This window comes from Homo sapiens, chromosome 11 (assembly GCF_000001405.40).
Source record: "Homo sapiens chromosome 11, GRCh38.p14 Primary Assembly".
Lineage (NCBI taxonomy): Eukaryota > Metazoa > Chordata > Mammalia > Primates > Hominidae > Homo > Homo sapiens.
The window spans coordinates 56022429-56038446 of record NC_000011.10 but is presented as its reverse complement, the minus strand read 5'-3'; the positions used below and the strand labels follow the sequence as shown (position 1 = coordinate 56038446).

General features: G+C 36.9%; 1 protein-coding gene across 1 annotated transcript; it reads right to left on the bottom strand.

Annotated features, from left to right (window-relative positions):
* Positions 1–255: 255 nt before the first annotated feature.
* Positions 256–10793, bottom strand: OR5AS1 (olfactory receptor family 5 subfamily AS member 1). The gene is made up of 2 exons (NM_001001921.2): positions 10735–10793; positions 256–8056 (listed from the first exon to the last, which is right to left on the bottom strand). Exon 2 carries the CDS (start codon positions 8026–8028, stop codon positions 7054–7056), a length of 975 nt encoding a protein of 324 aa, NP_001001921.1. The 5' UTR covers positions 8029–8056; positions 10735–10793; the 3' UTR covers positions 256–7053.
* Positions 10794–16018: the final 5225 nt, after the last annotated feature.

Genomic DNA, 16018 nt, shown 5'->3' with positions numbered 1-16018 from the left:
AGATATTGTGAAGATCATTGAAATGACCACAAATATTTTAGAGAGTACATAAATGTAGTTAATAAAGCAGTGGCAAGTTTGAAAGGATTGATTTTAATTTTGAAAGAAGTTCTACTGTGAGTAAAAAGCTATCAAACAGCATTACATGCTTCAGATAAATCTTCATCAAAAGAAGAGTCAATCTACATGACAAACTTTACTATTTTATTATTTTTAGAAAATGCCACAGCCACACATCACTGTGATCAGACAGAAGCCATCAATAGCAAGGCAAGTGCATGGTTCAGCGTGTTGATGGTTTTATGTTTAAGTCTTTAATCCATCTTGAGTTAATTTTTGTATAAGATATAAGGAAGGGGTCCAGTTTCTGCTTTCTGCATATGGCTAGCCAGTTTTCCCAACACCATTTATTAAATAGGGAATCCTTTCCTCATTGCTTGTTTTTGTCAGGTTTGTCAAAGATCAGATGGTTGTAGATGTGTGGTGTTATTTGTGAGGCCTCTATTCTGTTCCATTGGTCTATATATCTGCTTTGGTACCAGGACCATACTGTTTTTATTACTGTAGCCTTGTAGTATAGTTTGAAGCCAGGTAGCATGATGCCTCCAGCTTTGTTCTTTTTGCTTAGGATTGCCTGGGCTACATGGGCTGTTTTCTGGTTCCACATGAAATTTAAAGTAGTTTTTTTTTTTTTCTAATTCTGTGAAGAAATTCAATGATAGCTTGACGGGGATAGTATTGAATCTAAAAATTACTTAGGGCAGTAGATGGCCATTTTCATGATATTGATTCTTCATATCCATGAGCATGGAATGTTTTTCCATTTGTTTGTGTCCTCTCTTATTTCCTTGAGCACTAATTTGTAGTTCTCCTTGAAGAGGTCATTCATATCCCTCGTAAGTTGTATTTCTAGGTATTTTACACTCTTTTGTAGCAATTGTGAATGGCAGTTCATTCGATTTGGCTCTGTTTGTCTGTTATTGGTGTATAGGAATGCTTGTGATTTTTGCACATTGATTTTGTATCCTGACATTTTGCTGAAGTTGCTTATCAGCTTAAGGAGATTTTGGCCTGAGACGATGGGGTTTTCTAAATATACAATCATGTCATCTGCAAACAGAGACGATTTGACTTCCTCTTTTCCTATTTGAATATCCTTTATTTCTTTATCTTGCCTGATTGCCCTGGCCAGCACTTTCAATACTATGTTGAATAGGAGTGGTGAGAGAGGGCATCATTGTTTTGTGCCGGTTTTCAAAGGGAATGCGTCCAGTTTTTGCCCATTCAGTATGATATTGGCTGTGGGTTTGTCATAATAGCTCTTATTATTTGGAGATATGTTTGTCAATACCTAGTTTATTGAGAGTTTTTAGCACGAAGGGTGTTGAATTTTATCAAAGGCCTTTTCGGCATCTGTTGAGATAAACATGTGCTTTTGTCATTGGTTCTGTTTATGAGATGGGTTACGTTTATTGATTTGCGTATGTTAAGCCAGCCTTGCATCCCAGGGATAAAGCCAATTTGATTGGTGGATAAGCTTTTTGATGTGCCGCTGAATTCAGTTTGCCAGTATTTTTTGAGGATTTTTGCATCATGTTCATCAGGGATATTGGCCTGGCATGTTCTTTTTTTGCTGTGTCTCTGCCAGGTTTTCATATCAGGATGATGCTGGCCGCATAAAATGAGTTAGGGAGGAGCCTCTCGTTTTCTATTGCTTGGAATAGTTTCAGAAGGAATAGTACCAGCTCCTCTTTGTATGTCTGGTAGAATTTGGCTGGTCCTGGACTATTTTTTGTTGGTAGGCTATTAATTACTGCCTCAATTTTGGGACTTGTTTTTGGTCTATTCATGGATTTGACTTCTTCCTGGATTAGACTTGGGAGGGTGTGTGTTTCCAGGAATTTAACCATTTCTTCCAGGTTTTCTAGTTTATTTGTGTGGAGGTGTTTATAGTATTCTCTGATGGTAGTTTGTATTTCTGTGGGAACAGTGGTGATATCCCCTTTATAATTTTTTATTGTGTCTATTTGATTCTTCTCTCTTTTCTTCTTTATTAGTCTGGCTAGTGTTCTTTCTATTTTGTTGATCTTTTCCAAAAACCAACTCCTGGATTCATTGATTTTTTGAAGGGTTTTTCATGTCTCTATCTCCTTCAGTTCTGCTCTGATCTTAGTTATTTCTTGTCTTCTGAGGCTTTTGAATTTGTTTGTTCTTGTTTATCTAGTTCTTTTAATTGTGATGTTAGGGTGTTGATTTTAGATCTTTCCTGCTTTCTCTTGTGGGCCTTTAGTACTGTGAATTTTCCTCTAAACACTGCTTTAGCTATGTCCCAGAGATTCTGATACCTTGTGTCTTTGTTCTCATTGGTTTCAAATAACTTATTTATTTCTGCTTTATTTTCATTATTTACCCAGTAGTCATTCATGAGCAGGTTGTTCAGTTTCCATGTAGATGTGTGGTTTTGAGTGAGTTTCTTAATCCTGAGTTCTAATTTGATTGCACTGTGGTCTGAGAGACTGTTATGATTTCCATTGTTTTGCATTTGCTGAGGAGTATTTTACTTGCAATATTGTGGTCAATTTTAGAATAAATGCAATGTGGTGCTGAGAATAATGTATATTCTATTGATTTGGGGTGTAGAGTTCTGTAGAGGTCTATTAGGTCTGCTTGGTCCAGAGCTGAGTTCAAGTCCTGAATATCCTTGTTAATTTTCTGTCTTGGTCTGTCTAATGTTGACTGTGGGGTGTTAAAGTCTCCCACTATTTTTGTGTGTTAGTCTAAGTCTCTTCATAGATCTCTAAGAACTGGCTTTATGAATTTGGGTGCTCTTGTATTGGGTACATATATATTTAGTATAGTTAGCTCTTCTTGTTGCATTGATCCTTTTACCATTATGTATTGCCTTCTTTATCTCTTTTGATCTTTTTTGGTTATAGTCTGTTTTATCAGAGACTAGGATTACAACCCCTGTGCTTTGTTGTTTTTTTTTTCTTTTTTCTTTATTTGCTATCCATTTGCTTGGTAAATATTCCTCCATCCCGTTATTTTGAGCCTATGTATGCTTTGCACATGAGATCGGTCTCCTGAATACAGCACACCAATCGGTCTTGACTCTATCCAATTTGCCAGTCTGTGGCTTTTAACTGGGGCTTTCAGCCCATTTACATTTAAGGTTAATATTGTTATGTGTGAATTTGATCCTGTCATTATGATGCTAGCTGGTTATTTTGCCCATTAGCTGATGTGGTTTCTTCGTAGTGTCAATGTTCTTTAAAATTTGTTTTTTTTGCAGTGGCTGTTACCAGTTGTACCTTTCCATGTTTAGTGCTTCCTTCAGGAGCTCTTGTAAAGCAGGCCTGGTGGTGACAAAATCTCTCAGCATTTGCTTTTCTGTAAAGGATTTTATTTCCCTCCACTCATGAAGCTTAGTTTGGCTGAATATGAAACTCTGCATTTAAAATTCTTTTCTTTAAGACTGTTGGATATTGGCCCCCACTCACTTCTGGCTTATAGGGTTTCTGCTGAGACAGCCGCTGTTAGTCTGATGGGCTTCCCTTTGTGGGTAATGTGAGCTTTCTCTCTGGCTGTCCTTAACACCTTAACATTTTTTCCTTCATTTCCACCTTGGTGAATCTGATGATTATGTGTCTGGGGGTTGCTCTTCTTGAGGTGTATCTTTGTGGTGTTACATGTATTTCCTGAATTTGAATGTTGGCCTGTCTTGTTAGGTTGGGGAGTTTCTCCTGGATGATATCCTGAAGAGTGTTTTCCAAGTTGGTTCCATTCTCCCCCTCACTTTCAGGTACACCAATCAAATATATGTTTGCTCTTTTCACATAGTCCCATAATCCCTGGGGGCTTTGTTCATTTCTTTGCATTCTTTTTTCTCTAATCTTGTCTTCAAGCTTTATTTCATTAAGTTGATCTTCAATCTCTGATATCCTTCCTTCTGTTTGATCGATTTGGCTATTGATGCTTGTGTATGCTTCATGAAGTTCTCGTGCTGTGTTTTTCAGCTCCATCAGGTTATTTATGTTCTCTTCAAACCAGTTATTCTAATTAGCAATTCCTCTAACCATTTTTCGAGGTTCTTAGCTTCTTTGCATTGAGTTAGGACATGCTCCTTTAGCTCAGAGGAGTTTGATATTACCCAATTCTTCTATTTGTTATTACCCAATTACTTCCATCAATTCATCAAACTCATTCTCTGTCCAGTTTTGTTTCCTTGCTGGCGTGGAATTGTGATCCTTTGTGGGAGAAGAGATGTCTGGTTTTAGAAATTTTCAGCCTTTTTGCATTGGTTTTTCCTCACCATCATGCATTTATCTACCTTTGGTCTTTGATGTTGGTGGTGGAGTTTCTGAGTGGACGTCCTTTTTGTTGATATTGATGCTATTCCTTAGTTTTCCTTTTAATTGTCAGGCCCCTCTGCTGCAGGTCTGCTGGAGTTTGCTGGAGATCCACTCCAGACCCTGTTTGCCTGCGAAGGCTGCAGAACAGTAAAGATTGCTGCCCGTTCCTTCCTTTGGAAGCTTCATCCTAGAGGCACACCTGTGAGATGCCAGCTGGAGCTCTCTCCTATGAGGTATCTGTCAACCCCTACTGGAAGGTGTCTCCCAGTCAAGAGTCACGGGGTCAAGGACCCACTTGATGCAGGAGTCTATCTCTTAGGAGAGCTTGAACGATGTGCTGGGAGGTATGCTGCTCTCCTTAGAGCCAGCAGGCAGGGACATTTAAATCTGCTGAAGCTGCACCCACAGCCATCCCTTCCTTAAGGTGCTCTGTCTCAGGGGGATGGGGGTTTTATCTCTAGGCCCCTAACTGGGGCTGCTGCCTTTTTTTTAGAGATCCCCTGCCCAGAGAGGAGGAATCTAGAGAGGCAGTCTGGCTACAGAGGTTTTGCAGTGCTGCGGTGGGCTCCACCCAGTTCAAACTTCCTGGCAGCTTTGTTTACACTATGAGGGGAAAACTGCCTACTGAAGCCTCAGCAATGGCGGACTCTCCTCCTCCAACCAAGCTCGAGCATCCCAGGTCAACTTCAGACTGCTATGCTTGCAGGAAGAATTTCAAGCCAGTGGATCTTAGCTTGCTGGGCTCCATGGGGGTGGGATCTGCTGAGCTAGACCACTTGGCTCCCTGGCTTCAGCCCCCTTTCCAGGGGAGTGAATGGTTCTGTCTCGCTGGCATTCCAGGTGCCACTGGGGTATGAAGAAAACTCCTGCAGCTAGCTCAGTGCCTGCCCAAACAGCCACCGAGTTTTGTGCTTCAATCCCAGGGAGCTGGTGATGTAGGCACCCAAGGGAATCTCCTGGTCCGTGTGTTGTGAAGACGATGGGAAAAGCATAGTATCTGGGCCAGAGTGCACCCGTTCCTCATGGCACAGTCCTTCATGGCTTCCCTTGGCTAGTGGAGGGAGTTTGCCAACCCTTTGTGCTTCCCGGGTGAAGCAACACCCCACCCTGCTTCTGCTCACCCACCATGGGCTGCACCCACTGTCTAACCAGTCCCAATGAGATGAGCCAGGTACCTCAGTTGGAAATGCAGAAATCACCCACCTTCTCTGTTGATCTTGCTGGGAGCAGCAGACTGGAGCATCTCCTATTTGACCATCTTGCCAGCCACCAAACATAACTATGATATGCACTGAGAAATCTAAAAATTTGTGTGACACTTTACTGCGTCAGTTGCTTTATTGTAGTGATCTAGAAGAGAACCCACAGTATCTTCATGGTATGTCTATAAATATTAGATTATTTAATTTTCAAATCATATACATATACCAGTAATTTTACATATATAACTTTACTTAATACTCAAAACAATCCATTTCATTAGGTGCTATCTTATTGTCTCCATGTCCAAGGTTAAATTCAATATAACTAATCCAACCATTTATATTTTCATAATTATTACAAAATGCACACTTTTTTATTTCACATGTACATGGTGTATCACTTTAACTTTGTCAAAATAAGACAAAAAGTAAATAGAGACTTCAGACTGAAAGATCAGAATAAACCACAAAAAATCTGATAATTTAATTATCAAAATCGATTACAGAGTAAAAATTGTTTATACTTTAATTGCCTTGCATTGTAAATTTACAGAATAAAAGATCAGTGTAATTTTCACCTCTTCTTGAAGATAGAGCCTCAAAGACTATGTTAGCAACATGAATATAAATAATTAGGAAATTCTACAGTTTATAATCTTGATAGTATTCACAAACTTGTTTTTCACAATTACCCACTCTGAATGAAAAAGTAGGGAATTTCTTGCAGTAATCAACTTAGCCCAAAGACAATGTGATGTATCTTCATTCTGACTTAATAATAATGAGACTATTGCTACATGTCTTCTAATTTCTTGAGAACCAGTGAAACCACCATCAGTATCCCTAACAGATTATTGGTATTATAAAATATCTCTATTGACAAATGCTTTGTGAGTACAAATATAGACTCACTGTCCAAATAAAATAAGGCTGTATTTTCCCAGTCATTCATCTATCTATCCATCTATCCATCCCTCCATCCATACTTAAATTTATGTCTGAGGTTACAATATTTTGAATTTTTGAAATCAGACCTTGGCGATGACCTTGAGCAGTAGGATGCTTAGTGTTCCAATAATGGAACTCTATGCATAAATGGCCTAAACACACAGATAAGGAAGACATGCAGTATACCAGGTGCCAAACAGGTGGTGGAAAAAACAAGCCAATATACACATGCTCTGCTGCCAAGTAGCTTCTAATACCGATTGATTGACTGAAAAGTCAATATTTACCTTCAATACAACATCGTAAAGAACAGAATCAATGTACAAAGCATTTTAGAAACACTAATTGGATATAAATAATGACTATGTTTAATTAGGTAATGTTTTATAGAGTAGAATTGTGGAGAGAACATTTTTGGAAGAGAGGATGAAGCATTTTAATGCACTGAGTATAACAAGTTATCTTTATTTCTGAAAATGTGATAAATTTAAAATAGTTAACACATAAGATGTTCATGGCATAATTGCTGTTTATGAGATTGGAAGGGTAAGTTAGATATTGACTATTCTTAAACGATTTAAATACCATTCATTTGAATATCCAATTCTTTCTAATAGCTTTTTGAGAGCATTTTTCACATCCTTGTTTCTGAAACTATAAATTATTGGATTAAACATGGGAAATACAACAGTATAAAACACTGCCACCACCTTATCAGTGTCTAGGGAATAGCTAGTGGTGGGCTGTAAGTACATAAACAGGAGCGCTCCATAGAATAAGGTGACTGCTATGAGGTGGGAAGCACAAGTGGAGAATGTTTTGCTTCTGCCACCTGAGGACTTGATGCTCAACACAGTGATGAGGATGCAGAAGTAAGAAATAAATATTACCACAAAAGTGCTGGTCTGGATGAAGCTGCACAAAGCAAAGAGCAGAAGCTGGTTGATCTGAGTGTCTGTACATGATAAAGCCAGAAGAGGTGGGATATCACAGAAAAAATGATTGACGATATTGGAGCCACAAAATGACAGCCTGAATGTGAGGCACACATGGACCAGTGATGTTGTACTTCCACTGAAATATGCCAACACAATGAAGCAGACACAGACTCTCCTAGACATCAGTGTAGTATAGAGCAGTGGGTTGCAGATGGCTGCATAGCGGTCATAAGCCATTGCTGCCAGGATAAGGCACTCAGCATCAGCAAAAGAAGCGAAGAAAAACATTTGTAGTGCACACCCATAAGGAGAGATGCTTTTCCTGGATGCCAAGAAGTTTGCCAGCATTTTAGGAGTGATTGCTGTAGAACAGCTGATGTCTAAGAAAGATAAGTTGCTAAGAAAATAATACATGGGAATTTGAAGGCTTGAATTAATATTAACTAGAATTATTAAGAGTATATTTCCGACCATAGTTAATGTATATACCAGAAGGAATACCAAGAACAGTGTGACTCTGAGAGGTAGATAATCTGTGAATCCAACAAATAGGAACTCAGTTGGCATGGTGTAATTACTCTCCAACATCTTAGTTTTCTTGTTTTTCCCACTGGACCTAGGTAGTATCAGCAGATGTGAGTTAACTTGAGTTATGGATGAACCAAAAGTATCTTTATTCTCTCTTCTAAGGAATCAAATAGAAGGTCAGTAAAATCACAGAGATGTCATTTTTTGTAAATTTTGATTTTGATTTTGTCATTTGATTAAAGGAAGTATAATAATTAAAGATCACCATTGATAGCAGAAAATGTTATTTAGATGGTGGTGTTTTATAATATAGTACCTCTTTAAACGCGCTGCACTTTATGTGATGATAATAGTTTTTACAAGCTGAAAGGGATAAATGTAGCTCATGTAATGAGACCTAGTAGAATAATGAGAGTTGGCAAAATCTTTAGAGGCAAAGCTCTCTTTTTGCAACCCTAAAATCACATTCTTCTACATAAAGGAGAGTTGAGATAAAATATGAAAGAATGTCCATATTTAAAACTGTGTAATCACACAGAAGAATATCTGTGATGTTGGGAGGTTACTTAACGTGGTAGTTAAGAGCATGGTAATTATGGAAGAGATGGCTGGATTTACAACTTGGCTTTGCTATTTACTGTTTGTGTGACTTTGGTATAGTTATTTGACTTTCTGTGATAGTTAAGATGAATAAATAAATATTCCTAGTAAGTAGACATCCCTACATCACTTATGTGACTACACATACAAGTCACTGTGTGAGCGCTGATTAAATAAAATTTATTAAAAATAAATAAATTGACTCCATTTTGATTGTTTTGGGGTTTTTTTTGTCTGAACACCATGAAATATCCAGATCATTCTCAATATTCATCTTGTCTTTGACATCATAGATGCATTATTTGTTTTCTGTTGTAAAAATAAGTCGTGTGTGTGTGTGTGTGTGTGCTATATACAAATGTATTGTTTGGCATACTAAATCTTTTACTCATGCCCTATCATTGTTGCTTTCTTTTTCAAGATTTAGTTTACTTTCTAATCTCTGAAGTAAGCACTGTTTGGTGTGAGGTTCCAGAAACATTAGTATGTTTTGAAGGGCTGCATATGCGATTGGACTTCTAAACTGGTTCTGTAAGGACAAACATTGTATGGAAAAATGAAAAAATAATCAAGAACAAGAAAAGCTGAGATGATTTTAAATAAAATACAATGCGAATGGAATATTAAGCAGGAAGCTAGATCATTTGGAAGTGAGAAGTGTCTATGGTGAGTAACGTAGTGAGTAACTAAGGGAAATTATGAGATCTATTGTCTCTATCATGCCTGATAACCTCAGAACCTCCTTTCTCCAGCCAAATGGCAAGGAATCTTCTAAATGTACCGAAAAGAGAAGCCAGCCTTCTTTGTGAACTCAGATTTTTTAGAAGAGCAAATAACTTGACAGGGTAAGAATGCAATGTGTGTACCTAAAACTATAGTGAAGAAATCCCAACTCTGAAAAAATACTAGAAAAATGTACACATTTGCAAGCTTTATATAATATTCAAATCCTCACAACTGGATGTATATTTTCTCTATTATTCCTGGCCAACCCTAGCAAATTTCCACACTAACATTTCCGATGGGATGGCTAAATCGAATACACAGGCTCATCCAAACAAGTGACATTTCCATTAATGATTTTAATGAGTTTATATATTATATCCAAAAACAAGTTATGGGATCAAAGTCTTATTTTTCTTTCTTGAGTCCCATGACAACTACAAAACGATTTAAAGGGGTTTTGTAGTCAATTGTCCAGTGAGAGACTGAGCATCTCAAGACAACTTTCCTTTTCCTACAGGATTTATCTCACGCTGCTCTGAACTGAAATCAGAAAAATCTCCCAAAATGAGTTGGACCCCACTGGATCTTAGGGAAATCTCATTTGACAAACCTCCTATTTCTAAAAGATGTCTATTAATAAACTTTATTTGCTATTCTCTTTGAAGGAGATACGCAGATAGCAGAAATATTAGTACTGATTTCACTCAATCTTTTCTTTACAAATGGCATTGTGCTGAGCTTAAGCACACAGGATTTGAAGTTAGGCAAATGAGTATAAATAACCTCAGGTCCAAATATAATTTTCTAGAACTCATTGAACTTCTCTATGCCTAAATTATTTGTTATATTTAATTAGCATAATAATATATTATAAGACTGAAATCAAGATTGAACTAGGTAGCTTTACAGAGGTTGGTATGCTGTAGATGCATCAAAATGTATGTTATTATATATTATAATTATTACTATTAATGCTATTATGATTATTTAACAATTCAATATCTGACTTTGAAATGACAAATTCTCCTAGTTTGTTTTTATATGAACAAACACAAACAATTAACCACACTGCAGGTGAATATGTGATTTGTGCTTATAAAATCTGAGGTTTAGCATGCTGCTACAGAAAATTATTACACCATTGTTTTTCCAAAAATTCTTAATAGGCATAGTCAGCTTCCTTCTCATGGCAATAAGGTACACAACGAATTGGGCGTGACATTTTTTTTTCTAATTGCCATGGATAAGGTAAGCTTAGGTCTATGCTACCACCGTCTTCTGCCCACTCTTAGCCCACATACATACACAAACTGAAACACACCACACACACACACACACACACAGAAATAGCAGAGATACATTTTATCTGAGGCAAATTCATGGTCTTTGCTACATTCACAACAAACATTTTGTTAATGCTTTAGGGAAAAAATCACTTACCTCAGCACCATCAAGAACTTTGAATTTTATCACTTATTTTGCACAATGGGCTATCAACATTTTTCTCTAGGTTTTAGAAATAATTCTTATAAGGGATGAGTATATATATTCTAGTCTGTGACAAGTGAGACAGTGTCCCAAGATAATTTCCAATCCCAGTAGGGTGTCTGATAGTTAATTGTTCTCATCCTAGTGGTATAGGTATGTGGCTTAGCTGATTTCTCTTAAATGAAAAAAGGTAAAGGATAATAACACAATTGGCTATACTGTAACCAGTAATAACATAACCTGTCTTCATCATTGAGAGAGGTTTGATTAAAACAACAGTCTTTTAATTCTACCAGCCAAAAAAAAATTCTTCTGTAAATTCTTATTTCTATCAGTTCTCATTATGAATTCAGTTACTTAATGATACTTTGAAGTATTTAGTCATATTATCGAATTCTAAAGTACAAGCTCAATATATTGAGAAGAATCTCAGGCACTCTAATGTTTGGTTGCTTTTCCATTGTTGGAGTGTCTAGAAAGAAGTATGCCTTGAATGTTAAGCTACTAGAGTAAACACTGGTGATTCAGGCAACCTAGAGCAGTTGTGCCATTTCATGGCTATGGGACCTTGAACTACTCATTTAAACTAATGTTTACTAATTTTTAAATTGTGAATAATAATTGCACACATCAAATTCTTGTCAAGATTGAGATGACTCAAGGCCACTTGTTCAACAGATGGTACTTGTTCCATGACTCTACGTTTTCTCTAACAATTATAGCACTGTTTGCAACAGTATTTTTTAATACTTTATAACACTGCTCTAGATTGTAATGTTCTTTAAATGATTGATGATGGCATAGTCTATACCTTATGATTCTTAAGATTGACAGACTAGGGAGTGGATAAATACAGGATCCCACCTGGCTTCTCTTCTATACCTGGTAGGAAAATTGAAATCAGTTTTGTGGCTTCCAGAAGGGCTTTCTATTTAATAGGTGGACCTATGTTAGAAAGAGAAGGTTTAAACAAAGTTGTCAACCTTTGAGAGCATCCAGTAAATGGTTCAAAAATGCACTCATTCATATAGAAGATGAATGTAATCTCGAAAATTGAAAGCAGCTTATTCATGGGTTGTGTCCTTTATGTGGTAGGAAATATAAGGTTTAGAAAAAGATGCTTCCATGTAAGGAATCACAGAAAGCCCCCAGATGCCTGGACCTACAGAAACAAGGATTCTAAATTGCTGATATTTCCAGTTTTCCATATTATGTTTTGTCTTCAATATGGTGGATAACTGTGTCCTTTAATGGGATAATGAAAGGCAAATTGACTTTTTTCTTCAGAGGCTGAAATGTACAAATTTAGAGACTAATATTGACATTTTGTGTTTCTCCTGCTAAGAACAAGTAAAATGACTGAGGAAGTTTGCTTTCCTTTTGTGGGTTAGGGAGGGGGAGGAAATACTATACAGATTAAAAGCTACAAGGAGGGTACCATGGGCTGTACGGTAAGAAGACCACATCTGGAATGATAGTTTTAAATAGAAATAGATAGTTGATCAAATTAATAAAGAATAATTAACTCATATTTTTGAAGACTCATTTTTCTTCTGTACTGGCAAAATAAAAGAGCCAAATGTAATTACATTAGAAACTTAGCCATCTATATATTTTTAAATGTTAGTATTGTGCAGTAAAGGATAAACTCAACTATCTGGGGTCTTCAGAACTGGCCCTGACAACCTCTGAAATATCCTGTCTTCGAATATCCTGTCCGATAAGGGCATCTTTATATACTTTGGCTCAGTTTACACTCATGGTATGATTTATTCTGCTTGCCTGTTTTTGCGTACCTGGGGCTTCTAGGTTATGCTGTATTCATATGGGCCATTTGAAGACTACGTATCTAAGATCAGGTAAGTGGGTTCTCCATGCCCATGTGACTGACCCTCAATCAAACCCTGGAAACAATTATTTGGTAAGCTTCTGTGATTGGCAATATCCCATACTTGTTATCAGACAATACTCCTGGGAGAATTAAGTATTGCCTGTGTGATTCCACTTAAGAGGACAAGTGGAAGCTCGTACTTGGTTCTCCTGGAAACTGACCTATACACTCTTTTCCTTTTACAATTTAATCCATATCTTTGTGAAACAGGTTCACTGTGTACTGGTTATCAACTTGTCTGGGCCCAGTGAGACAGAACACCCATACACACAAGTTGCATGAAGCAGGCAGCAAAGGACAACAGAAGCCCAGGACTTTTTGAAAGCTGGGCTTCCAAAGTTCAGGAAAGAGGCCCAGACTGAATGGGGTTTCATCTGCATATGCCTCACTTGCACTGCAGCTGAGGGAACCCAGAAAGCAGCCTATCCTGGTTTTGTACCCTAGGGTTAGAAGAATTGCTGGGGCCAAAGCCTTGAAGGACAGTCTGTTTCTAAAGTGAAGGAGGCATTGGCCAGAACAACATGTGCTCTGTTCCAGCTGCCTCGCCTATCTCAGAATGTTATATTTCCAGTAGGTTCTACAGTTATTTTTGAGAATTACACGTGAGGGAGGAGGGACAACTGGACTACTCAAAGGCTACCTGGAAAACTGTCCTCCAATCTTTAGTGGTAATAAACCATAACCATAAGCATAATAGCTTTTCTGAGTTCTGTGAGTTCTTCTAGTGAATCATTGAAACTGGTGATAGTCTTTGGGATCTCTGATACAAGTACTAAGTTCTAATGTCCTCAAGTGTATTTTTTAACAAGATTTCAACCATCTTTATTTTATATTAGGTAAAATATATAAAAATATATGACAGTTATAAAATATTTTATTGTAAAATATTAGGTAAACATTTAGTTAAATCCAAAAATGTCTATATAAATCAGAAAGCAAAAGAAATACTTATAAACTCACCACAGAAATTAATTAAAAAACAAAAAATCTTGAATATTGCCAAAATTGGAAATTCTCTATGATCATCTTCATTATCTTGCTTCCCTGACAGTGGCAGCTACTTTTCTGCATTATTCCCTATATTTCAATTTTTTTTTTTTTTTTGAGGTGGAGTCTTGGTCTGTCACCCAGGCTGGAGTGCAGTGGCATGATCTTGGCTCACTGAAACGTCTGCCTCCTGGGTTCAAGCGATTCTCCTGCCTTAGCCTTCCGAGTAGCTGGGACTACAGGCGTGTGCCACCAGGCCCAACTAATTTTTTTGTATTTTTAATAGAGGGAGGGTTTCACCATGTTAGCCAGGATGGTCTCAGTCTCCTGACCTTGTGATCCACCCACCTTGTCCTCCCAAAGTGCTGGGATTACAGGCGTGAGTCACCACGCCTGGCCCCTAGATTTCAATTTTGAAAATAATTTCATCTATATTCCTAAAACGATTATTTTAATAAATCTCCTTTTTAAAATTTTTGAACATTGTAAATGTGATATCACGTTTGTCATCTACAGAGCTTATGTTTTTCTTTAATATTGTGTTTCTCACATTCTCCCATGTGCATACGTATTTCTTCACTGTAATTTCATAATTTGTTGTATTATTTTTCTTTGCTGTATCATAATTAAATTGCCTATTACCTAATTTTATGACCAATGCTACTATTAATGTTATTTTACTCTTCTCTAAGCACACATGTACAAGAGTCTGCATTGATTGCATATAGGGTATACATATAGGGTATACAACTTTAAAATATAGCAAATTATTTTCTAAATTTCTTTTTTTGTTTTTTTTTCTTCTCTTAGTACCATTTTAATATGTAAATAAAATATACGTCATTGCAACATTTTTTTATTTGTTTTTATTATTGTACTTTAAGTTTTAGGGTACTTGTGAACAATGTGCAGGTTTGTTACATATGTACACATGTGACTTATTGGTATGCTGCACCCATTAACTTGTCATTTACATTAGGTATATCTCCTAATGCTATCCCTCCCCACTGCCCCCACTCCACGACAGGCCTCAGTGTGTGATGTTCCCCTTCCTTTGTCCAAGTGTTCTCATTGTTCAATTCCCACCTATGAGTGAGAACATGCGGTGTCAGGTTTTTTGTCCTTGTGATAGTTTGCTGAGAATGATGGTTTCCAGCTTCATCCATGTCCCTACAAAGGACATGAACTTATCCTTTTTTATGGCTTCATAGTATTTCATGGTGTATATGTGCCACATTTTCTTAATCCAGTCTATCATTGCTTGTTCATATCTACAATCTCAACAACAGAACATAACACCTCAGATAACTTGTATTTGCTAATGCTTTTTATACTCTGAAATTAATATTTTCTGCCAATATAATAGGGGTGATAGATATTTTTAATCTTTAACACACCTGGAATAATTTGTTGTGTATTATATGAGGTAGGAATCTTAGACAGTATATTTTTTGCAGTTTTTTAAAAAATGTAAGTTCTCTATCTTCAATGGTGCTCTATGATATATTAAATTTTCATTTTTGTGTAGGTCTGGTTCTGGGTTCTCTATTGTGATCACTTGTCAATGTTCCATTTTCATCATTGCTACACTTTCCTATTATAGCATTGATACAGGCTTACTTGGTACTTCTTCAGGAATGTCTTGGCCCTTTTTGTTCTGGGTTATTACTAAAAAAATTATAACCAGCTTGTCACATTAATTGAGAATATTATTGAAATATTATTTGGAATTATGTTGTATTTATAAACCAATATTGTAAAAAGTATATCTTTATAAGAATCATCCTCATAAACATGGAGTCACTGATTATTTACATTATTGATGATCTTTTAAAAATATTTTATAATTGTTTCCATAAAGGTTTAGCGTATCTGTTGTTAATTATATTTTCCTAAGGTCCTTGTATATTATAAAAGTTTTCCTTTAAAAATTAACGTTAAATAATTTCTGCTATGGCAAGGAAATACAACTAAACTCCAGATACTGATCCTATATTCAACAACCCAAAGTTTTTTATTAATTCATCTAATGTGTCATTTTATCCCCTTGCATGAGTATATTTCTTATACTTTTTTTTTTTTTTTTTTGAGACAGTCTTGCTCTGTCGCCCAGGCTGGAGTGCAGTGGCATGATCTCGGCTCACTGCAAGCTCTGCCTCACGGGTTCATGCCATTCTCCTGCCTCAGCCTCCCCAGCAGCTGGGACTACAGGCGCACGCCGCCACGCCCAGCTAATTTTTTGTATTTTTAGTAGAGACAGGGTTTCACCATGTTAGCCAGGATGGTCTCGATCTCCTAACTTTGTGATCCGCCCACCTCAGCCTCCCAAAGTGTTGGGATTACAGGCGTGAGCCACTG

Coding starts and splice junctions, on each gene's coding strand:
- OR5AS1 (NM_001001921.2), bottom strand. CDS start 8,028: ATGTTGGAGAGTAATTACACCATGCCAACTGAGTTCCTATTTGTTGGA.